Source organism: Homo sapiens, chromosome 2 (assembly GCF_000001405.40).
Source record: "Homo sapiens chromosome 2, GRCh38.p14 Primary Assembly".
NCBI lineage: Eukaryota > Metazoa > Chordata > Mammalia > Primates > Hominidae > Homo > Homo sapiens.
Genome location: NC_000002.12, coordinates 202,906,593 through 202,929,033, shown reverse-complemented (window position 1 = coordinate 202,929,033; position 22,441 = coordinate 202,906,593). Strand labels below are relative to the sequence as shown.

General features: G+C 40.8%; 2 protein-coding genes and 1 pseudogene across 22 annotated transcripts in view, besides 5 other annotated features; 1 reads left to right on the top strand and 2 right to left on the bottom strand.

Moving 5' to 3' along the window:
- Positions 1-16,759, bottom strand: part of CARF (calcium responsive transcription factor) — a 75,989-nt gene extending 59,230 nt beyond the window's left edge. For 11 of the 20 annotated variants that reach the window (NR_148033.2, NR_136330.3, NR_136331.3 and 8 more), the window contains exons 1-2: positions 16,710-16,759; positions 10,991-11,157 (exon numbers count right to left, since the gene is read on the bottom strand). Coding sequence is in view for 2 of the 20 variants with exons in the window: in NM_001322429.3 (NP_001309358.1) it covers positions 10,991-11,032 (42 nt within the window). In the remaining 18 variants the exon portion in view is untranslated. Of the gene's footprint in view, positions 1-4,618; positions 4,738-10,990; positions 11,158-15,919 lie in introns of all 20 variants that reach the window. The other 9 variants (XR_007081622.1, XR_007081643.1, XM_047445855.1 and 6 more) reach the window with 6 other exon arrangements.
- Positions 2,662-3,162: an enhancer, noted in NCBI's record as "H3K27ac hESC enhancer chr2:203790595-203791095 (GRCh37/hg19 assembly coordinates)". NCBI's record gives its function as "activates a minimal SCP1, AML or CMV promoter by ChIP-STARR-seq in naive H9 embryonic stem cells {active_cell/tissue: H9 hESC(naive)}" and the evidence as "EXISTENCE:reporter gene assay evidence [ECO:0000049][PMID:30033119]".
- On the bottom strand, positions 3,104-4,500 carry KRT8P52 (keratin 8 pseudogene 52; annotated as a pseudogene).
- Positions 16,479-16,528: an enhancer, noted in NCBI's record as "active region_17007". NCBI's record gives its function as "activates an Ori minimal core promoter by ATAC-STARR-seq in GM12878 lymphoblastoid cells {active_cell/tissue: GM12878}" and the evidence as "EXISTENCE:reporter gene assay evidence [ECO:0000049][PMID:35858748]".
- Positions 16,629-16,828: an enhancer, noted in NCBI's record as "active region_17006". NCBI's record gives its function as "activates an Ori minimal core promoter by ATAC-STARR-seq in GM12878 lymphoblastoid cells {active_cell/tissue: GM12878}" and the evidence as "EXISTENCE:reporter gene assay evidence [ECO:0000049][PMID:35858748]".
- Positions 16,869-17,018: an enhancer, noted in NCBI's record as "active region_17005". NCBI's record gives its function as "activates an Ori minimal core promoter by ATAC-STARR-seq in GM12878 lymphoblastoid cells {active_cell/tissue: GM12878}" and the evidence as "EXISTENCE:reporter gene assay evidence [ECO:0000049][PMID:35858748]".
- Positions 17,029-17,178: an enhancer, noted in NCBI's record as "active region_17004". NCBI's record gives its function as "activates an Ori minimal core promoter by ATAC-STARR-seq in GM12878 lymphoblastoid cells {active_cell/tissue: GM12878}" and the evidence as "EXISTENCE:reporter gene assay evidence [ECO:0000049][PMID:35858748]".
- Positions 17,361-22,441, top strand: part of WDR12 (WD repeat domain 12) — a 37,413-nt gene continuing 32,332 nt past the window's right edge. For both annotated transcript variants that reach the window (NM_001371664.1, NM_018256.4), the window contains exons 1-2: positions 17,361-17,598; positions 21,075-21,169. Coding sequence is in view for 1 of the 2 variants with exons in the window: in NM_018256.4 (NP_060726.3) it covers positions 17,558-17,598; positions 21,075-21,169 (136 nt within the window). In the remaining variant the exon portion in view is untranslated. The remainder of the gene's footprint in view (positions 17,599-21,074; positions 21,170-22,441) is intronic.

Sequence of the window (22,441 nt, the reverse complement as noted above, 5' to 3'; positions counted from 1 at the left end):
TACAGGCCAGGCGTGATGGCTCACACCTGTAATCCCCACATTTTGGGAGGCTGAGGCTGGAGGACTGCCTGAGGTCAGGAGTTTGAGACCAGCCTAGACAACATGGTGAAACCCTGTCTCTACAAAAACACAAAAAATTAGCCGGGGATGGTGGCACGGACCTGTGGTCCTAGCTGCTCGCACCTAAGCCCGGGAGACTGAGGCTGCAGTGAGCCGAGATTGAGCCACTGCACTCCAGCCTGGACGATAGAATGAGACCCTGTCTGACGAAGAAGACATACGAATGGTCAACGGGTATATATCTTTAAAAAAAATCTCTAAGAATCGGGTAAATACAAATCAAAATCACAATGAGCTATCATCTCACCTCGGTTAGAATGGCTATTATCAAAAAGACAAAAAATAACAAATGCTGGCAAGGATTTGGAGAAAAGGGAACTCATACACTGTTGGTGTAAATTAGTACAGCCATTATGAAAAACAGTATAGAGATTACTCAAAAAACTAAAAATAGACTACCATATGATCCAGCAATTCCACTAATGGGTAAATATCCAAAGGAAAGGAAATCAGTAAGTCAAGGAGAAAGCTGCACTCCCATGTTTATTACATCATTATTCCACAATGGTCAAGATATGGAATCAACCTAAGTGTCCGTAAACAGATAAACTGGTAAAGAAAATGTGGTATATATACACAATAGAATACTATTTAGCCATTAAAAAAAATGAAATTCTGTCATTCACAGCAACGTAGATGGGCTTAGAGGACATTATGTTTGAGAAATAAGCCAGGCACAGAAAGACAAATACTGCATGTTCTCACTCATGTGTAAAGTTAAAAGGTTGATTTCATAGAAGTAGGGAGTAGAATAATGGTTACTAGAGGTGGGGAAGGGTAGGGTAGGGAAGGGAACAGCCAAATGGTTGATGGTTACAAAGGTACAGCTAGGACAGAGTGCGGTTGCTCATGCCTGTAATCCTAGCATTTTGGGAGGTCAAGCTTGACCCCAGGCAACCTGGACAACATAGTGAGACCCCATCTCTACCAAATATAGTAATTAAAAAATTAACTGGGCATGGTGGTGTACACCCGTAGTCCTAGCTACTCAGGAGGCTTAGGTGAGGATTGCTTGAACCTGGGAGATCAAGGCTGCAGGGAGTTGTGATCACGCCGCTGGCACTCCAGCCTAGGGGACAAGAGTGAGACCCTGTCTCAAAAAAAAAAAAAAAAGACAGCTAGATAGGAGGAATAAGTTCTAGTGTTCTATAGCACTATAGGGTGACTATAATTAACAATATATCGTATATTTTCAAATAGCTAGAAGAGCAGATTTTGAATGGTCCCAATACAAAGAAATGAAAAATGTTTGAGATGATGAATATGCTAACTATCCTGATTTGATCATTACACGTTTTATACATGTATCAAAATATCACACTATACCCCATTAACTTATACAATTATGTGTCAATTAAAAATAATGAAAGAAAAAAAGCCAAAAACCCCACATTATATACTTGAAAACTGCTGCAAGAATAGATTTTAAATATTCTCACCACAAAAAAAGTATATGAGTAATACATATGTTAATTAGCCTGCTCTAACCCATCCAGGATATATACATACATCATGTTGTATATCATCAATATACACAATTTTTGTCAATTAAAAATATTTTTAAAAGCTTGCTTTTATGGAAAAAAAAAAGACTGAATTAATGAACTATGTGTCCATTTTGAAAAGCCAGAAACTAAGAAATGTGAGCACATAAAAATGAAGGCCATATTAAAGGATGTAATTCAATGAAACAGAATAAAAAGACATAATGCAGATGTCAACAACGCCACAAACTGGTTTTCTGTAGAGAAAGGGAAGGACAGGCCTCCAGAGAAAGAAAGAAAAAAAAGCACAAATAAGCCAGGCACTGTGGCTCATGCCTGTAATCCCAGCACTTTGGGAAGCCGAGATGGGCACACTGCTTGAACTCAGGAGTTCGAGACCAGCCACGGGCAACATGATGAAACCTTATCTCTACAAAAAAATATAAAAATTAGCTGGGCATGGTGGTGCATGCCTGTAGTCCCAGCTACTCAAGAGGCTAAGGTAGGAGGATCATCTGAGCCTGAGCTGCAGTGAGCTATGATTGCACCACTGCCCTCCAACCTGGGCGACAGAGCAAGACCCTGTCTCAAAAAAATAAAAATTTAGGAATAAACTTGACAAGAGATATGCAAGATATATGTATCGTAAACTACAAAACCTAGGTAGGAGAAATTAAAGAATATCTGAATGAGTGATGACATATACTGTGTCTATAAAATGGAAGACTCAATAAGATATTATATCTTCCAACTTGATCTATGTATTGTATATCATCCCAACCTAAATCCCAGTAGGTTTTTTAAAATTGAGAATCTGATCCTAAAATTCATACGGAAGTGCAAAGGTTGAACAGCCAAAACAACTTTGGAAAAGAAGACAAGGTTGGAGTTCTTACACTACTACTGATTTTTAGACTTAATACAAAGATATAACAATCAAGGTATTATGGTATCGGTGTAAAAATAGACAAATAGATCAATGGACAGAATAGACAATCCAGAAATTGACCCACACATTATCTGGCCAATTGCTTTTTTCTTTGGCTTAGCTGAGGCTTTATTTTGAAAAAACAATTGAACTAGGTTTTGTCTGTTTTTAAAATTTTGTTTTAACCAGAAGGCTCCCAAAGGTATAAACTGGTTTTCAGTTGCGAGCATGAAAAAGAGGCGGTCGTCTAGGAACCACCCTAGGTTCCCTTAAGGGTGGGCTGAGGTCCACAATTGGGCCTCAGGTGGTCTCCTGTTCCCTATGCTTCCCTGCACAGTTGCCTCCCCCACAGGCTCTGGTCGGCCAGAGGAGGTAGGTAGGCTGGGAGGAGTTGCAGTGGCATTCATTGCAGGACATCAAAGGACTCAGATACTAGCTTCCCATTGTGGATCTCGATCCTCTTCACAACCACGGCCCTGAAGGAGCTGGTGCAGCTGAAGGAGGTGGAGCCCCTGCCAGAGTCTAAGCTGGATTGGAAGGGGCCCTAGGTCATACTTGTGGCCAAAGCTTGTGAGGCCTTCGCAGGCCGAGCTCAGCCCCTTGAGTAGCCACTGGTGGTTTCTGTATGGATACTCATGTTCTGCATCCCAGACTCCACCTGGCTCTCCTTGCCTTTCAGCAGCTTCTTGTAAGTGGAGATCTTGATGTCCATGGCCAGTTTAACATTCACCAGCTCCTGTTACTCAAGCAGCTGACAGGCCATGTCTTGCTTGGCTCTCTGGAGGATGGCTTCCAGCTTGGCACTGGCATCCTTAATGGCCAGCTCCCCCTGCTACTCAGCATCTGGGATGGCAGCCTCCAAGGAAGCCCTCTGGCCTTTGAGGCCCTCATTCTCAGCCTGAAGCAAGCTGATGTTCTGGTTCATCTTAGAGATCTGTCTTCATGTGACGCAGGTCATTCTTGGCTTCCCAGGCAGCGTCTGCAGCTCCTCACACTTGATCATATTCCTAATACTCCTTGTACATGCTTTCAGTTTCAGCTCAGCTGCAGCTGGTGATCTCCTCATACTGGGCACGGACCTCGGCAAGGATGCCATTTAAATCGAGGGAGTGGCTGTTGTCCATGGACAGGACCAGGGATGTGACCAAGAACTGGGACTACAGCTCACAGATCTCCTCTTCATACAGCTGAATGAGGAAGTTGATCTTGTCAGTCAGCTCTTCCAGGTGAGATTCCAGCTCTACCTTGTTCATGTAAGCTACATTCATATCCTTCTTGATGAGGACAAATTCATTCTCCATCTCTGTAGGCTTGGTTATTTAAACTTCACACTTTTGATAGTCCTCCACTGGTCTCTCCATGTTGCCAAGTTCTGCCTCCAGCTTCAGCTGCTCCTGGCTCAGTGTGTCCAGTTGCTGCTTTAGGTTGTTGATGTAGCTCTCAAACATGCTGTCCATGTTGCTCCAAGCTACTTTTTGCTGCTGCAAAAGGATCCACTTGGTCTCCAGTATCTTGTTCTGCTGCTCCAGGAAGGGTACCTTCTCAGTGAAGGGGGCAAACTTGTTTAGGGTCTTGATCTGCAATTTCTCCGGGGTGCATACAGCCTGGGTGTTGGTGTGCACATCCAGCTTAAGGGGACTCGGGAGGCTCTGGGTCACTGTGGCAGCTGTGATGCTCCTCCATACCACCAGACCTGGCATAGCCTCCCTCCAGACCCATGCCAGTGTCCAGGCTACCCCGGAAGCTGCTGCTGTTGCCCATCCAGGAGAAGTTCTAGGAGTTAATGCAGACATCTGGCCCATTCTTGTATAAGCAGCTGCCAAGGAGGCCCTTGGCCACCAAGGGACCAGAGGTGGATACCATGTAGGACTTCTGGGTCACCCTGATAGATATGGTGGAGGATGGAGTAGAGGCAAGCAGGCTGAACTGGACAGATTCGAGATGGAGCTGAGAAGCTATTTCTAGGTGGTAGTCAATTGCTTTTTGACAAATATATCAATACATCAAGAGAAAAAGGACATTTTTTAACTAATGGTGCTAAAACAACTAAATAGCCGTATGTAAAACAATAAACCTTGACCCTTACCTCACACCAGATAGCAAATCAACTTGAAATGGATCACAGACTATCAAATGATAAAACTTCTAGAAGAAAACACAGGAGAAAATCTTTGTACCCTTGGACTTGGCAAAGATATATTAAACCTGAAACAAACAGTACAAAATATAAAAGAAAAAAATCTATGAATTAGACTTTGTCAAAATTTAAAATGTATTCTCATTACAGATGGGAAAAAATATTTGCAAAACATGTAGCTGACAAAGACCTTATATTCAAACTCTAAAGAACTTTTACAACTCAGTAAGACAACTCAACTAAAAAAATTGGCAAGATGTTTGACGATACAACTTCACTAAAGAAGATATATAGCTAGCAAGTAAGCACACAAAAGATGCTGATCAGCATTAGTCATTAGGGAAACAAAAATTAACATCACATTAGATTTAAGTCCTTAATCCATCTTGAGTTGATTTTTGTATAAGGTGAGAGATGAGGATCCAGTTTCATTCTCCTACATGTGGCTAGCCAATTATCCCAGCACCATCTGTTGAATAGGGTGTCATTTCACCACTTGAAGGTTTTGTTTGCTTTGTCGAAAATCAGTTGGCTGTTACGTATGTGGGTTTATTTCTGGGTTCTCTATTCTGTTTCATTGGTCTATGTACCTATTTTGATACCAGTACCATGCTGTTTTGGTGAGTACAGCCTTATAGTATAGTTCGAAATCAGGTAATGTAATGCCTCCGGATTTGTTCTTTTTGCTTTGTCTTGCTTTGGCTATGCGGGCTCTTTTTTAGTTCCACATGAATTTTAGGATTGTTTTTTCTAATTCTGTGAAGAATGATGGTGGTATTTTGATGGGAATTGCATTGAATTTCTAGATTGCTTTTGGCAGTATGGTCATTTTCACAGTACTGATTCTACCCATCCATGAACATGGGATATGTTTCCATTTGTATATGTTGTCTATGTTTCAGCAGTGTTTTGTAGTTTTCCTTGCAGAGGTGTTTCACCTCCTTGGTTAGGTATATTCCTAAGTATTTTACTTTTTTTGCAGCTATCGTAACAGGGGTTGAGTTCTTGATTTCACTCTCAGCTTGGCTGCTGTTGGTGTACAGGAGAGCTACCGCACAAAATTAATTGTGTACATTAATTTTGTACCCGGAAACTTTGCTGAATTCTTTATTTTTTGTTTTTTGAGATGGAGTTTCACTCTTTTGCCCAGGCTGGAGTGCAATGGCCGTGATCTCGGCTCATGGCAACCTCTGCCTCCCAGGTTCAAGCGATTCTCCTGCCTCAGCCTCCCAAGTAGCTGGGATTACAGGCATGCACCACCACACCTGGCTAATTTTGTATTTTTAGTAGAGATGGGGTTTCACCATGTTGGTCAGGCTGGTCTCAAACTCCTGACCTCAGGTGATCCGCCCACCTCAGCCTCCCAAAGTGCTGGGATTACAGGCGTGAGCCACCTCGCCTGGCCTTCTTTGCTGAATTCTTTGATCAGTTCTAGGAGCTTTCTGGAGGAGTCTTTAGAGTTTTCTAGGTAAACAATCATATCATCTGCAAACAGTGACAGTTTGACTTCCTCTTTACCAACTGGGATGCTCTTTTATTTCTTTTTTCTTTTTTGAGACAGAGTCTCACTCTGTCACCCAGGCTGGAGTGCAGTGGTGAGATCTTAATCTCAGCTCACTGCAACCTTCACCTACCGGGTTCAAGTGATTCTCATGCCTCAGCCTCCCAAGTAGCTAGGATTATAGGAGCCTGCCACCACACCCAGCTAATTTTTTTGTATTTTTAGAAGAGAAGAGGTTTCCACATGTTGACCAGGCTTGTCTGAAACTCTGGACCTAAGGTGATCCACCCACCTTGGCTTCCCAAAGTGCTGGGATTATAGGCGTGAGGCATAGCAACTGGCCTAAATGCTCTTTATTTCTTTCTCTTGTCTGACTGCTCTGGCTAGTAGGACTTCCAGTACTATATTAAAGATGAGTGGTGAGAGTGGGTATCCTTTTCTTGTTCCAGGCCAGGCTGGTAGCTCATGCCTGTAATCCCATCACTTTGGGAGGCTGGGGCAGGCAGGTCACTTGAATCCAGGAGTTCAAGACCAACCTGGCTGACATAGTGAGACCCCCATCTCTACAAAAAAATTTTTAAAAATTAGCTGGGTGTGGTGGCATGTGTCGTGGTCCCAGCTACTTAGAAAGCTGAGGTGGGGGGATTGCCTGAGCCCAGGACATTGAGGCTGCAGTGAACCATGATCATGACAGGGCAAGACCCTGTCTCAAAAGATTAAAAATTTCTTTTTAAGGGCTCAGTGTGGTGGCTAATCCCTGTAATCTTAGCACTTTGGGAAGTCAAGGTGGAAGAATGGCTTGAAGCCAGAGTTTAAGATCAGCCTGGGAAATATAATGAGATTCTGTCTCTATTGAAAAAAAAAAAAATCAGCCAGGCATGGTGGTGAGTGCCTATAGTCCCCATAGCTTCTTGGGAAGCTGAGGTGGGAGGACTGGTTGAGCTCAGGAGTTTGAGGCTACAGTGAGTCATAATCATGCCACTGCACTCCAGCCTGGGTGACAGAGTGAGACCCCATCTCAGGAAAAAAAAATTTTTCAATAAAATTTTAAGTTTTATTGTTTATGTCATTAAAACAAATATTATGTTAATATAGCAACATCAGAAAGTTAAAGTCACTTATAATTTTACAGAAATCACTATTGACATTTTTGCATATTCTTCCAGATTTTTTCTAATCATATATATTTATAAGCAGATATTCATTCACAAAATGAATTATTACTACACATCCAAGTGACTGTTCTATGTGCTGGAGATACAAGGATGATCAAGACACTTAAAGTCTCTATGTATAAAATTTATATTCTGTGTGTTTTATAACTATATCTGAATTTTTAAAATCAGGTTTATTTCATGATATCACAGAGGAACTGAACATTTTAAGTGAACTCATGTTTGCTAATTAACTAACGCAATTATGGAAAATGCAAAAGAAACTGACCTGAATATAGAGATTTAATTTAATACAAAGCTGTCTGATGGCAAGGTAATAGAAATTTCTTCAATTTACTGAGGTGTTTACATAGATCTAAAATTTTCTGGAATTAAAGAACTTTGGGCCAGGTGCAGTGGCTCACACCTGTAATCCCAGCCAGCACTTTGGGAGGCCAAGGCAGGCGGATCACAAAGTCAGGAGGTCAAGACCATCCTGGCTAACATGGTGAAACCCCGTCTCTACCAAAAATACAAAAAATGAGCCGGGCACGGTGGCACGCACTTGTAGTCCCAGCTACCTGGGAGGCTGAGGCGGGAGAATTGCTTGAACCTGGGAGGCGGAGGTTGCAGTGAGCCGAGATTGCACCACTGCACTCCAGCCTGGGCGACAGAGTGAGACTCCGTCTCAAAAAATATAATAATAATACTAAGATTTTATGTTTCTAAGAGTTGATTATCCTGATTTTTAAAATTCATTTAACTATTATTTATTGACTGACTTCCAATATGCACTACACAGAAATACAAAAGGACTCTATTAAAACAGGAAACTTTTTACAAAGTTAGATTCAACTGCAAATAAGGTCCTATTGAGGGGCTTATTAAAAATGAAATATCTATTAGGAATATAACGTTTTAAAAATTTACCTTTTTCTTGCTTTTTTCCTATTAGGAATACAATTTACTATTCTAAAGTAAATTGTCAAGAATACGATTTAAATACAGTTTAATTTTCTTTTTCTTTCTTTCCCATTTTTTTTTTGAGACGGAGTTTCACTCTTGTTGCCCAGGTTGGAGTGCAATGGCGCGATCTTGGCTCACTGCACCTGGCTTAATTTTTAAAGTAATCTGAATATTCACTGTCTAAACATGATGACATCAAGATCAAAAAAATTTCTTAATATTTCTGAGAGCTCTTTGACTTTTAAAATATAAGCACTATTATGATAGATCAATTAAGATTATGAATTTAGGACAGGCACGGTGGCTTACGCCTGTAATCCCAGCACTTTGGGAGGCCGAGGCGGGCGGATCACAAGGTCAGGAGATCAAGACCATCATGGCTAACATGGTGAAACCCCATCTCTACTAAAAATACAAAAAAACATTAGCCGGGCATGATGGTGGGCGCCTGTAGTCCCAGCTACAGGAGTCTGAGGCAGGAGAATGGCGTGAACCCGGGAGGCGGAGCTTGCAGTGAGCTGAGAGTGCACTACTGCACTCCAGCCTGGGCGACAGAGCGAGACCCCGTCTCAAAAAAAAAAAAAAAGATTATGAATTTAATTGTCATAGTTATAAAATAGAATGTATTGAATCTCAACTATCCTAAATAATTATTAGCTAGAATTATCAACAATCACTCTACTATTCTGTGATATAGGACCTATTATTATCATCATTTTATAGAAAAAGATGATGAGGTTCATTGCTCAAAATTATAAGGTTATCATTTATTGAGCATTTACCATAGTAAGGTACTATGCTAAAAGTGTTTTACCTATATCATTTAACCCTTTTGACAATGCTGTGATTCAGTTACCTGTTCCAATTTACATATAGGATAGGCAGATAAGTAACTTTCCCAAGATTACAAATATGCTGAGTGGCTGAGCAAGAACTCAAACCTACATGTGTTTATTTCAAAGCCCGTACTCTATTATTACAATAGGAACTTTTTCAAACCAATAAACAAAGCTCTCTTCTGCCTTTATTAGTCAAAAATCCATAGCTTTAAATCTTTTTCTGGATAGGTTAACAAATTAAAGATGTTAAAAGGAATTATTTGTTCCTTTTTGTTTTCAACTTTTGCCAGTTGAAATTTAATTAGAAGCAGTACCGTAACATACAAAAAACTCTATCTCCGACACCACCCAAAAGCTAGAGCTCTAACTATGCAGGCATTGTAGTCACTGAAAAAACATTAGGTAGAACAGATTGAGAAGTGGAGTTTAGGAAGAAGTTGTAAAAAGTGCCAATAGCTTAGGGGTAAGAATTCCAAATATTCCCAGTTTCCTGACAGGTACTCTGATCCTACTGCAAGTTACCTTTACTAGCCTAATTTTATTTTTTTTACTTTATTTACTTTTGCTCACTCACTCTGAAATTTCATCAGTAAAATTTTCATTGATGTTAATAAGCCCTTTTTCTTAAAAAGAAAAAACTTTGGAGGGAACATCAGCCATTAACAAATTGGTATAAATTTCTGTAAGGATGGATTTCTTCCTTTAAAACGAGTTAAAAAGAGCTACCCTGAGGGAGTGAAAAGTTTTACTTGGAGGTGAGAAAGCAAGTACAGGTGAGCCTCAAAGAACTTAGAGGGATTCAGCAGGCCTGCACAGGATGCTGCAGTGAAGACTGAGGGAAGTATGACTGGCTTAGGTAAGTACACTAGTTAAGGGGTGGGGAGTATGTTGACAGAGGAAGACTGCCAAACACAAACCACCTACTGCAGAATTTTGCCCATATTGAGATTTTGCCAATGGAATAAAAATAACTATATTTTCTACTGCCTTCTGGAAATGAAAATCTATGGGTTAAAGACTTTTTGTGGTTACATTGAGAAAATATTAAAGTAGTTTCTATACGGAAAAGTTGGTTTTAATATGATGACTGACCTAACCCATTGTTGAAATGAAGATTAAAAGTACATTTTTAAGTTACAGACACACTTTAAAAAAATAATTTGGATGCAGTGAAAAGTATTACCTCTTCCTTCCTCCTTTCTTCCATCAATTTGCTTTACCTTCTTTAATCCTGACAACTGCAAAGTGACTTAAAATAGCTGATTTTCCCAACTATCCTGAATGTCAGTATATGCTATAAGTTTTTATCCCTAACTGCCAATTAACTCCGTCAAAGTAAAGTTTTTTTTTGTTTTTTTTGTTTTGTTTTGTTTTGAGACGGAGTCTTGCTCTATCACCCAGTACTGGAGTGCAGTGGCACTCACTGCAAGCTCTCGGCTCACTGCAAGCTCCGCCTCCCAGGTTCACACCATTCTCCTGCCTCAGCCTCCAGAGTAGCTGGGACTATAGGCGCCCGCCACCATGCCCGGCTAATTTTTTTTGTATTTTAGTAGAGACGGGGTTTCACCGTGTTAGCCAGGATGGTCTCAATCTCCCGACCTTGTGATCCGCCCACCTCGGCCTCCCAAAGTGCTGGGATTACAGGCATGAGCCACCGCGCCTGGCCCTGTCAAAGTAAAGTTTATAAGAATGCAGATATTAATATTAAATAGCTAAGTATAAAATGTTTTTTCCAACTGATAAACATAAATAGAACAAAGCACCTATATACAAAGGGTAATTTGACTTTTTAAACATGTAATAGATAATAGTTAACTTTTTAAAATAAAGTTGTTACTTTCAATTAGTTAAAAAAAATTACCTTCAGATAGTGGCTCAGGTTTAAATTCCAGGCCTCAAGCATTCTACTACCCCCAGAAATGTCCTTTCTTGTCCACTGAAGTTCTTCCTTTTGGGGGCACTAAATCATGATAGCTGTAGCTTCATTTATGTGAAAGCTTTAATTGGGTCTTCACAGCAGCATTTTCTCTGTAATGAGAAGGTATTTAATGTATATTTTATTTTCCTACACATAAAGATAATTATTACTTTTTGTTATGCAGGTTTTATTTTAAAATAACCATTATCAGCCTGGTGTGGTAAAACTATCAATTGATTCATTTAAGAGAACTAAAGATGAGGACTGACTTTACAGGTAACTACATGTATCTTGGGACAGGTGACAATCTCTCTGTGCCTGTTTCCTTGTCTAAAATCAGGTATTTGGAATATTTAAATTCTCACGTTTTATAACTATCACTAAAACAAAGATCTCTAGCAAATTACATTTTTCATCAATGAAAATACTTACTATTAGGGTATCTTTTGGAGCCACAAGAAGCTTGAAAATAAAAGCTCTTCTCCCCATGCCCTACCTCCCAAACCCTAGAATTGACAGGCTTATTTCTTAAGCAAGCGTATTACAATTAAAGAGAGCAGAAAGAAAAAAGAAAATATTAAATATGGAGCCTAAACAGTTAATGATTGGATTTCAGAAAACACACTAAAGCATTAAATTTTGCCGGCAAATTGCTTTCTAGAATGTTTTGTTATCACATTTAAAAAGTGGATTTTATCTTATATCAAAAGTAAAGATTGGAAAGCATCTGTAAAATTAGCAGCTCAGCGCTTTTTTTTTTTTTTTTTTTTTTTTTTGAGACGGAGTCTCGCTCTGTCGCCCAGGCTGGAGTGCAGTGGCGGGATCTCGGCTCACTGCAAGCTCCGCCTCCCGGGTTCACGCCATTCTCCTGCCTCAGCCTCCCAAGTAGCTGGGACTACAGGCGCCCGCCACTACGCCCGGCTAATTTTTTTGTATTTTCAGTAGAGACAGGGTTTCACCGTGTTAGCCGGGATGGTCTCGATCTCCTGACTTCGTGATCCGCCCGCCTCGGCCTCCCAAAGTGCTGGGATTACAGGCGTGAGCCACCGCGCCCGGCGAGCTCAGCGTTTTTATTCTGGGAAGAAAGGGCTTTTTATTGTTTTTAGACAGTGAATGTATGGCAGAGGGGTAGAGACGATTCAGGTTGTTGTCATGTCTCCTTCAAGGACCATACTTGGGCCACTGCTGTTAGGATCTTATTCAACAGCAATTCTATCAGTTCAAAATTTTGGAGGCAATTTCTTATGTGTAATATCCAAAAAAAATGGTCTTAACATCCAACCATGTTGTTGAGTATCCTTCACAGACTTCTGTGTATTAAAATATTATTGTTACAACCAATAACCTTAGAATAAATCCCCAAATAGGGTAATTAAAGAGAAAGCAGCTTGAAGTTGTTTCTTTAAATTCCAGATACCTTGGTTAATGTCCTAAGATGTAAAAGATCTTTAAATCTATTCATTATCAGCGCCAGATCTTATTAACTACATTAAAAAGTATTGCTCGGCGGGATGCTGGTGGCTCACACCTGTAATCCCAGCACTTTGGGAGGCCAAGGTGGGCAGATCACGAAGTTAAGAGATTGAGACCATCCTGGCCAACGTGGTGAAACCCCATCTCTACTAAAAATACAAAAAAGTTAGCTAGGTGTGGTGGTGCGCACCTATAGTCCTAGCTACTGGGGAGGTTGAGGCAGGAGAATCGCTTGAACCTGGGAAGCACAGGTCGCAGGGAGCCAAGATTGTGCCACGGCACTACAGCCTGGCGACAGAGTGAGACTCTGTCTCAAAAATAAATAAATAAATAAATAAATAAATAAATAAAATATTGCTCAAAAGTACTTTAGAAAGTAAAATTTACCGCATCTTTTAGAGGTAAATGACATAACATTCCTTTTATAATATGTACAAAATTACTATGAATCAGTGGTGTCAAAAATGAAATCAAGACTAATTCACAAATATTTTAATAGGATAATTTATTTTTTAAGAATCAGTTTTTAAAGTTATGTTAAACATCGAACTTTTAAATGCATGCAATTATATATAAACAATAACCTATATTAATTTTTAAATTTTCTGCTGGATGCAGTGGCTCATGCCTGTAATCCCAGCGCTTTGGGAGTCTAAAGTGGGCGGATCTTGAGGTCAGGAGTTGGGAGGCCAGCCTGGCCAACATAGTGAAACCCTGTCTCTACTTAAAAAAAAACAAAAAAAAACAGGCTAGGTGCAGTGGCTCATGCCTGTAATCCCAGCACTTTGGGAGGCTGAGCAGATGGATCACAAGGTCAGGAGATTGAGACCATCCTGGCCAACATGATAAAACCCTGTGTCTACCAAAAATACAAAAATTAGCTGGGCGTGGTGGCGTGTGCCTGTAATCCCAGCTACTCGGGAGGCTGAGGCAGGGGAATTGCTTGAACCAGGGAGTTGGAGGTTGCAGTGAGCCAAGATTGCACCACTGCACTCCAGCCTGGTGACAGAGCCAGACTCCATCTCAAAAAGAAAACAAAACAAAATACAAAAATCAGCTGGGAGTGGTGGCAGGAGCCTGCAATCGCAGCTATTGGGGAGGCTGAAACACGGATCACTTGAACCTGGAAGGCAGAGGTTGCAGTGAGATGAGATCATGCCACTGCATTCCAGCCTGGGCAACAGAGCAAGACTCCACCTCAACCAGTACAGTGGCTCACGCCTGTAATCCCAGCACTTTTGAAGGCCGAGGTGGGAAGATCACAAGGTCAGGGGATCGAGACCATCCCGGCCAACATGGTGAAACCCCTTCTCTACTAAAATACAAAAAATTAGCCGGGCATGGTGGCAGGCACCTGTAGTCCCAGCTACTCGGGAAGCTGAGGCAGGAGAATCGCTTCAACCTGGAAGGCGGAGGTTGCAGTGAGCTAAGATAGCGCCACTGCACTCCAGCCTCGCGACAGAGGGAGACTCTGAAAAAAAACAAAAAACCAAAAACAAAACAACAAACACCACCACCACCACCAAAAAACCCTCCAACTCAAAAAATAAAAAAATAAAAAAAAGCACTTTTTAATTTTCAGGGAAAAAAAATCTAAGGCTGGTGTTCACAATGTCAATTTTATTTATGGTTTATTCTCACTATAAGCTTCCCTGCAATCCATTTCTACCCATGTTTTACTCTGCACAAACTTTTTACCTTTTTGCTCTGATTTTTTGTTTGTTTTTTTTTTTTGAGATGGAGTTTCACTCTTTTTGCCCAGGCTGGAGTGAAGTGGCGTGATCTTGGCTTACTGCAAACTCCACCTTCCAGGTTCAAGCAATTCTCCTGCCTCAGCCTCCCCAGTAGCTCGGATTATAGGCACCCCCCACCATGCCTGGCCAATTTTTGTATTTTTAGCAGAGACGGGGTTTCACCATGTTGGCCAGGCTGGTCTCAAACTCCTGACCTCAGGTGCTCCACCCGCCTCAGCCACCCAAAATGCTGGGATTAGGCTGCTCTTTGAGAGCTTTACAAATTTATTTAATCCTTACAATGACTCTGAGGTAGATCTTCTTGTCTCTGTTTGTAGATAAGAAAACTGGAACTGTCAAGAAACTTGCTTAAGATCACAGAGTGCATTAGGCTTGGATCCATAATCAAATTGGAAAAAAAGAAAAACACAAAGAACAATTAAGACTCCAAAGCCCTAATGCATAGTCTTTGTATCCTATCACACTGTGGCATTATATATATAAAACAAAAAACTTTATAATAAAGAGAAATGTATTTTCCAAACTGTGGTTCTCCAGATAACAATGTGTCTCCATGAGGACCATATAGTAAATACATCCCATAAAAAATGATTACCAACCAAAAGCTTGCAATTAATGTTCCAACTAAAGAAAAAGACTCAAAGTAAAAGCATCAGCTATCCTAGGTACTGTTTGGAGGCAACACCAAACACGACACATAAATCATTGTTGAAAAAAACCGTAAAACATAATGCTGGGTATTTAGTTATGTTGAATGCTAAAACTAATCTTTCCTTAACTAAAGGTCTCCGTCAAATGAAAAGTGTATTTTAGTCAAGTCAGGATTTCTGTTTTGCAAACTGAAAGTCTTATATTATTAAGCATATATTCAGGTTATTTTCCTGATCATAATTTTCAAATCAAATTAAGATCAAACTCTACTGTCAGGTACTGTATATTCTCATTTTGATAAATTTCAAATTAATGATAAAAATGTATTAACCTGCTGGTCAATTATACATTTTATAAATATATTTTAACCAATGACATATTACCAGTAAGTACAGATTCAACGGCAAGATTTCATTAAGAAAGTGTTTCAAGCTTCAGATGCCCAAGACTTATTTAATGTGTAAATCCTCACCACTACAATAACCACATGGTTAAACGATCACCACTTCCATTAGCAAGCTCAAGCCTAATAAGTGATCTCCTGGGACTTCAGCACAGAGGTTTTCTAATTTTATTCCTCCACTCAATGTGGCTATTCTCCCTTATCTATTCACGCTGGCAAAGCTTCTAGTTAAACTGGAATTAGTAACTATTTGATGATAATAATTAACATATACTGAGTGCTTCCGATGCCGCAGTTAATTCTTATAGTTGATAAAAGTGTGGCACAAAAAGGTTAATCAAGTAGCAGAGGCAGGATTTGAACCCAGGAATTCTGGTTCCAGGGCCCGGATTCGGAGCTACAAAGGTGAGTAAACTGAAAAGAGTCCTACTTTTATTGTCATTGCTCTCTAATAAAAATTATTTTTTCTTCCAATTGTTTAAATCTCTTCTCATTCTCTATTTAAATATTAGGCGTTCATTTAAACATTAGGCGTCTACCTTACAGTAGGACATCTTTAAACAACGTAAAAAAGGAAAGCTTTGTCTTCACCTGCACACATACCGGTCTGCCCATAAATTTTGCAATCCAGTTCTGCCTGATTCTAAACTGCTTGTCTCTTGAAGCGAATGCCTTAAAAAGTGACATTGGGATCAGGATAGTTATCTCCATCCATCCTCCCTCAGAAAAACAACTATATTAGAGTAATTCTTGGGACCATTGAGAACAATACACAGGCCTTTGGGTAACTTCAAGACAAAAAAGGCAAAAAGTCGGGGAGAAGGTGTGGGAGGATGATTTTCCCCTTCTAAACGTAAGGTATAAAAGGGCTCAGAAAGCGGAAAAAGAACCCTAAAAAGCAAGGTGCGGGACGGCGTGAGGGACCACACATTGGGCGCTCCGCCCAAGGGGTCCGGCTCCTTCTCCGCGGCGATGGCGCGTCCTTGGGCTCAGCAACCCTCCTGAAGACACCTAACCTCCTCCTTCTCCAGCCTGCCCCTCTGGGGCCTGCGAGCCCCGTCCCGGGCCGGGGGTCGGAAGCCGTGCCATGTGGGACCCCGAAAAGGCCCCCAAGCTTGGCGCGGAAGGCGCCGCCAGTGACCGGCTGCGGCTGGGGGCGGAGGCCGGCAGTTGCTCGGAGCTCCGGCGGGTCAGGAGGTGACGGGAGGAGGAGGAGGCAGGAGGAAGACGGGGGGTTGGGAGGTAGCGTCCGGTAGGTCTGCGCAGACAGCGCTGCCAGACCTCTGACTCCCCCAGTCCTGCCGCCGCCGATAGCCCCACAAGGCGACATGGGAAGTCCGCCGGAGCAGAGGGGAGAAAATTCAAAACGAGTCTACTCAACCTCGTCTTGGCTCCGAGGCCCCGCCATGGAGACCAGCATAATGCGCAGGCGCGCCCCACCGGGAGCGCGCAGAGCAGTCCCACGACAGTAGGACCACTATCGGCCACCGTCGACCGTTTCCTCTCTCATCCGTTCTTTTCTTTGTATTTCCGCCTCTCGCCTCTCTCTAAAAGCCGCAGTTAGAGGCGAGATTTAGGAAAAACCTCTGCCGAGTGAGCCTCTGGTTGGGAATATGTATGAGAAAAAAAAACTGGCAAGGCGTTAGTCAAGCAAAGCTGAAGGCAGAGGAAATTTGATATCTGGCTGGAGTCTAGAGGATTTAATGCAAATAAGATACTCTGAGGGCAGCGTGGCAAAAAAAGACTACAATTCCCGGTGGTCACAGCGTTTGAGAAGCGATGCTTTCTGAGACTTGTAGTAACTAGGAGCTGTGTTTGAACTATCCAGGCTCAGGACAGCCTCTTGAAAAAAAATTTTTTATTAATAAAGCGGATTTGAGTGGGATCTTTTTCCTAATCGATTACGGGCCCACACGTATGGGAAGAATTCTAACAATGATTAAAGGGACATGCTACCTTTACGACTATCCTTTTCTAATCGATGACTCCTAAATCTAGGAGTAGGTAGTCGATGTTTGTGGTCTGGGCGTCTGTAGAAGGGCAACCTCGTGCTTTCTGCAGAGGAGACCGGAGGGCAGAAGGCAGAGTCCAGGCTTAGACTGCAGTTCCTCGCTTACCTGTGCAGTCTAATTTTGAGCTGCCTCTTTGTAGTCTTAAAAGGCAGGAGCTTCGTGTTGTGGGTCTGCTAACCCGTACGTTTCCGTGGGCAAGTCGTGTGTACTCCTCGCCATGGCTCAGCTCCAAACACGCTTCTACACTGATAACAAGAAGTAAGTAAGCGTTCCAGCCTTCTCTCCCTTCCCCAGGTTCCTTTCCGACCACCCCTTTGGTATGACCTTGTGGATCCCTGGTTGTTTCTGCTGTCACCCCCACCCTTTTTTCTGAGATTACCTGCTTTCTAACCAGCTTCGTAGGTTCTATATAATTTGAATTGTGAGTGTGGAGGAGGCTGAAGGGCTTCAGGTTTGCTTTCTGAATGAAACATTTTATATGTGTAATTTAAAAATGAACAGTGGGCCTTGTTATAGGGTGTCTGCTAGTGGTGGTTCACAGTTTTTGAAAACGGAAAAAAAGTTTTTGAAAATGAAAAAACATATTTACCATTTATGTATATCTATATAGATATATAAACATTTTAACCAGTGGTCTCAAGGTCTGTTAGCACTCATTCGAAAACTAATTATATGCTGCCTTGTGGTATATATTGCATTGTTAGCTTTCTTTGTGTTTGCCTGGTCTCTTCCAACTATATTGGAAGTCTCTTGAGGGCAGGGACTATATATTAATTAAGCTTCTTGGATTGGCTGAGTCAACAAAAAATGTCAAATTTTTCAGTGAAAATGATAATATTTGTCGTGTTAATAAGCTAAAGTTAGCCATAAACTAGGAAACTCCCACCTGAGTTACATCTGTGGTTTTGTTTGTAGCTTTATGAGGAGAGCTAGTAAATCATCTTCTCTCCCCTTGTGTTGTTGCTGAAAGTATACATAAATCGTATTATCAATGCACCTGAGTATATGTACTTACTTACATACATTGCCTTAATACTTCTCTAGGAATGTGGTGATGCATTAACATAACCACTGTGTTTTTTAATTGAAAGTAGGTTTTTTTGTTTTTCTTAAAATAAAATTTTTTGAAATATGTGGGGCTTTTTTTTGTTTGTTTGGTTTGGTTTTTTTGGAGACAGAGTCTCACTCTGTTGCCCAGGCTGGACTGCAGTGGTGGGATCTTGGCTCACTGTAACCTCTGTCTCCCGGGTTCAAACAATCTTCCCGCCTCAGCCTCCAGAGTAGCTGGAATTACAGGCATGTGCCACCAAGCCTGGCTAATTTTTGTATTTTTAGTAGAGACAGGAATTTGTCTTGGTGGCCATGCTGGTCTCGAACTCCTGGCCTCAAGTGATCCGCCCACCTCGGTCTCCCAAAGTCCTGGAATTACAGGCATGACCCACTGCGTCCAGCCTTGAGATAATTGTTGATTCACATGAAGTTGTAAGAGATAATAGGCCACTGTGTTTTAACCCCTGAAATGAATGGATACATGTCATATGTGTGTGTGTGAATTTAGGCCCTCCAAAAGGTAAAAAAATGTAGAAATTAAAATTCTTTGCCGAGTGCTGTGGCTCATGTCTGTAATCCCAACAGTCTGGGAGGCTGAGGAACGCAAATCGCTTATCTCAGGAGTTTGAGACCAGCCTGAGCAACATGATGAAACCCCGTCTCTACCAAAAATACAAAAAATTTGCCAGGCATGGTGGTGCCCACCTGTGGTCCCAGCTACTTGGGAGGCTGAGGTGGGAGGATCTCTTGAGCCTGAGAGGCAGAGGTTGCAGTGAGCCAGGATCAATGCAACTGCACTCCAGCCTGGGGAACATAGTGAGACTCTATCTCAAATAAATAAATAAATAAATAAATAAATAATAAAATTCTTGCTTTTTCTTTTTGCTTAATATTATGGTCAGTAAAATGGAGGCGGGGGGCTAATATAATTGTCACACACACACACAAGAATATACATATATGTGAATTATATACATAAATATATAGCTATAGCCTTATTGCTCAAAGTGTGGTTTGAGGATCATCAGCATCATATTTGCAAAGTTGTGCAACCATCACCACAGTCAATTTTAGAACATTTTTCATCATCCTTGAGCTGTTTGTTAAATAATACCCCCAGCCCTAGGCAACCACTGATCTACTTTCTAGCTCTGTAACTTTCTCTCTTCTGGACGTTTTGAATAAATGGAATTATATAATGTGATCTTTTGTGACTGGCTTCTTTCACTTACTATGATTTTTAAAAAATGGTTTCATTATATCATAGTATATATTAGCACTTCATTCCTTTTTGTGGCCAAATAATAGGCCATTGAATGGAGGTACCATATTTTTCCATTCATCAGCTGGTGGGCATTTAGGTTGTTTATACCTTTTAGCTATTATGAATAGTTGTTATGTGAACACTCGTACAAGTTTTCGTGTGGATGTATGTTTTCGTTTCTCTTGCATATATGCTTAGGAGTGGAGTTTTTGGGTCAGATGTAATTCCATGTTTGAGTTTTTGAGGAACTGCCAGACTGTTTTCCAAAGCAACTGCACCATTTTACGTTACTGCCAGCAATAATCAGGGTTCCAATTGCTCCATATTTTCACTGACACTTGTTATTAGCTGTCTTTTTACTTATAGCACCCTAGTGGATGTGAAATTATATTTCATTGTGTTTGATTAACATTACCTGGATGACTAATGATGAGCATTTGCATGTCCCTATTGGGCCATTTTAAAATTTGTGTTGTCTTTTTATTATTGAGTTGTAAGTGTTCTTAATATAGTCTAGATACAAGTTCCTTATTAGATACATGATTTGCAAATATTTTCTCACAGTCTCTCTTATAAGAGTCTCCTAATCTGCCTCCTGTCATGTGTTCCTCTATTTCAGTGCCCATTGTGCAGCCAGAAAGATCTAACTAAATAAAATCTGATGATACTTCTAATTTGCACTGCTGTGATAGTTCTTCATTACCCACAAAAAAGAAGTAAAAATGATTTCACATGATATATAAAGCACTCCATGTGTATCTCTTTAGCCTTTGGTCACTTTGGAGCAAAGTCAGATTTTCTGGAAGTGGCTGGGCAGTTTAACAACTCCTAGCTATTGTTTTGATGTTCTCTCTGGTTTCGTCCACACTGCTTCTTCCAGCCTACCCTTCCCTCACCTGGCAAAAACTCACTTCTCTTTTGAGACAGGGTCTTGCTGTGTCACCCAGGCTGGAGTGCAGTGCAGTGGTATAATCTCAGCTCACTGCAGCCTCGACCTCCTGGGCTCAGGCAGTCCTCCCACCTCAGCCTCCCAAGTAGCTGGGACTACGGGCACATGCCACCACGCCTGGCTAATCACTTTTCTAAATGTTGCTTAACAGTTATCTTTTCTGTGGATCGTTTCTGGCCCTGCTCCCCTGCCCTCCTTTTCTGTGGTTAAAATGACCTATGGTGTCTTTGTTCTTTTTATACATGTCACCTAATGGCATTGTTCTTATATAACTTCATTCTATTTGATTACTAAACTTCAACCTCATCTTAGAACAGAGACCATGTTTTAATTCATTTTTGTTTACAACATGTAGCAAAATGTCTGGATGTCTGGCATTTATTTACCCAATAAATGTATGTTGAATTCGTAAAAGCATGTTTGTTCAAATATCTGTAGACTTGATCTTGACATATCATTTCCTTTTTATAGATATGCCGTAGATGATGTTCCCTTCTCAATCCCTGCTGCCTCTGAAATTGCCGACCTTAGTAACATCATCAATAAACTACTAAAGGACAAAAATGGTGGGTATATATGCTTAGGAGAGGGCACAGTGTCCCTAATTATTCTAAAATGCATTAAGTTTTTAGTTCCTTTTTTGGCCTTATGATACTGTATGAATTTTGTAGTGGTAAAATTTGTAAGTTATAAAGTACAGGTTCTTCTGCTGGATGATACTGTAAATACTGCTTTGAAAGAAAAGTTTTCAGAAAAAAATTTCTGTTTAATCTGTTTTTAAGGCCATGTGGAAATATGGTGGTTGTAGTTAAGGAATAAAGATTTTGGTATAAAGTTGTAATATAGAGGTAATCAAGACATTGATTGTTCTACAGAGGGCTGAGTTATGCAGGCATAAAACAAGCGTTTTAGTGCTTAGGCCCCATTTACTAGTGAAGCACAAAGCAAAATGACAATATCAGTATTTGAGTGTTTAGTGTAATATCAAAATGACAGTATGAATACCAGTATTTTATTTTTTGTGTCCAGAATTCATAAAAAAAGGATATAACAAAACATGGAAGAATATAAAACATTTAAAAGATACAAATATTAAATATATACTATTGTACTAATATAAGTTATTTGCCCATTAAATTAATATGAACAATGTATGTAAAAATATCAATGAAATAAGATTGGCTATGAGTTAATAATTGTTGAAGTTTGTAATCCCAGCACTTTGGGAGGCCGAGGCGGGTGGATCACGAGGTCAGGAGTTTGAGACCAGCCTGACCAACATGGTGAAACCCCGTCTCTACTAAAAATACAAAAATCAGCCAGGCGTGGTGGCACATGCCTGTAATCTCAGCTGCTAAGGAGGCTGAGGCAGGAGAATTGCTTGAACCCGGGAGGCGGAGGTTGCAGTGAGCCAAGATCGCACCATTGCACTCCAGCCTGGGTGATAGAGGAAGTCTCAAAAAAAAAAAAAATGTTGAAGTTTGGTGATAGGTGTAAGGAGGCTCCTTATATTATTTTCTGTATCTCATTGTAGTTTTGATTGATATTTCTGAACTTTTCCATATGTATGAAATTTTCTATAATAAAGTATTTTTTAAAAAGTAAAGAAACATTACATAAAATAGAGAAAATTTAAACATGAAACATTAAGTGATTCTCCTGCCTCATCCTCCAGAGTAGCTGGAATTACAGGTGCCCGCTACCATGCCTGGCTAATTTTTTGTACTTTTAGTAGAAACGGGGTTTCACCATTTGGCGAGGCTGGTCTCGAACTCCTGACCTCAGGTGATCCACCCTCCTGGGCCTCCCAAAGTGCTGGGATTACATGTGTGAGCCAC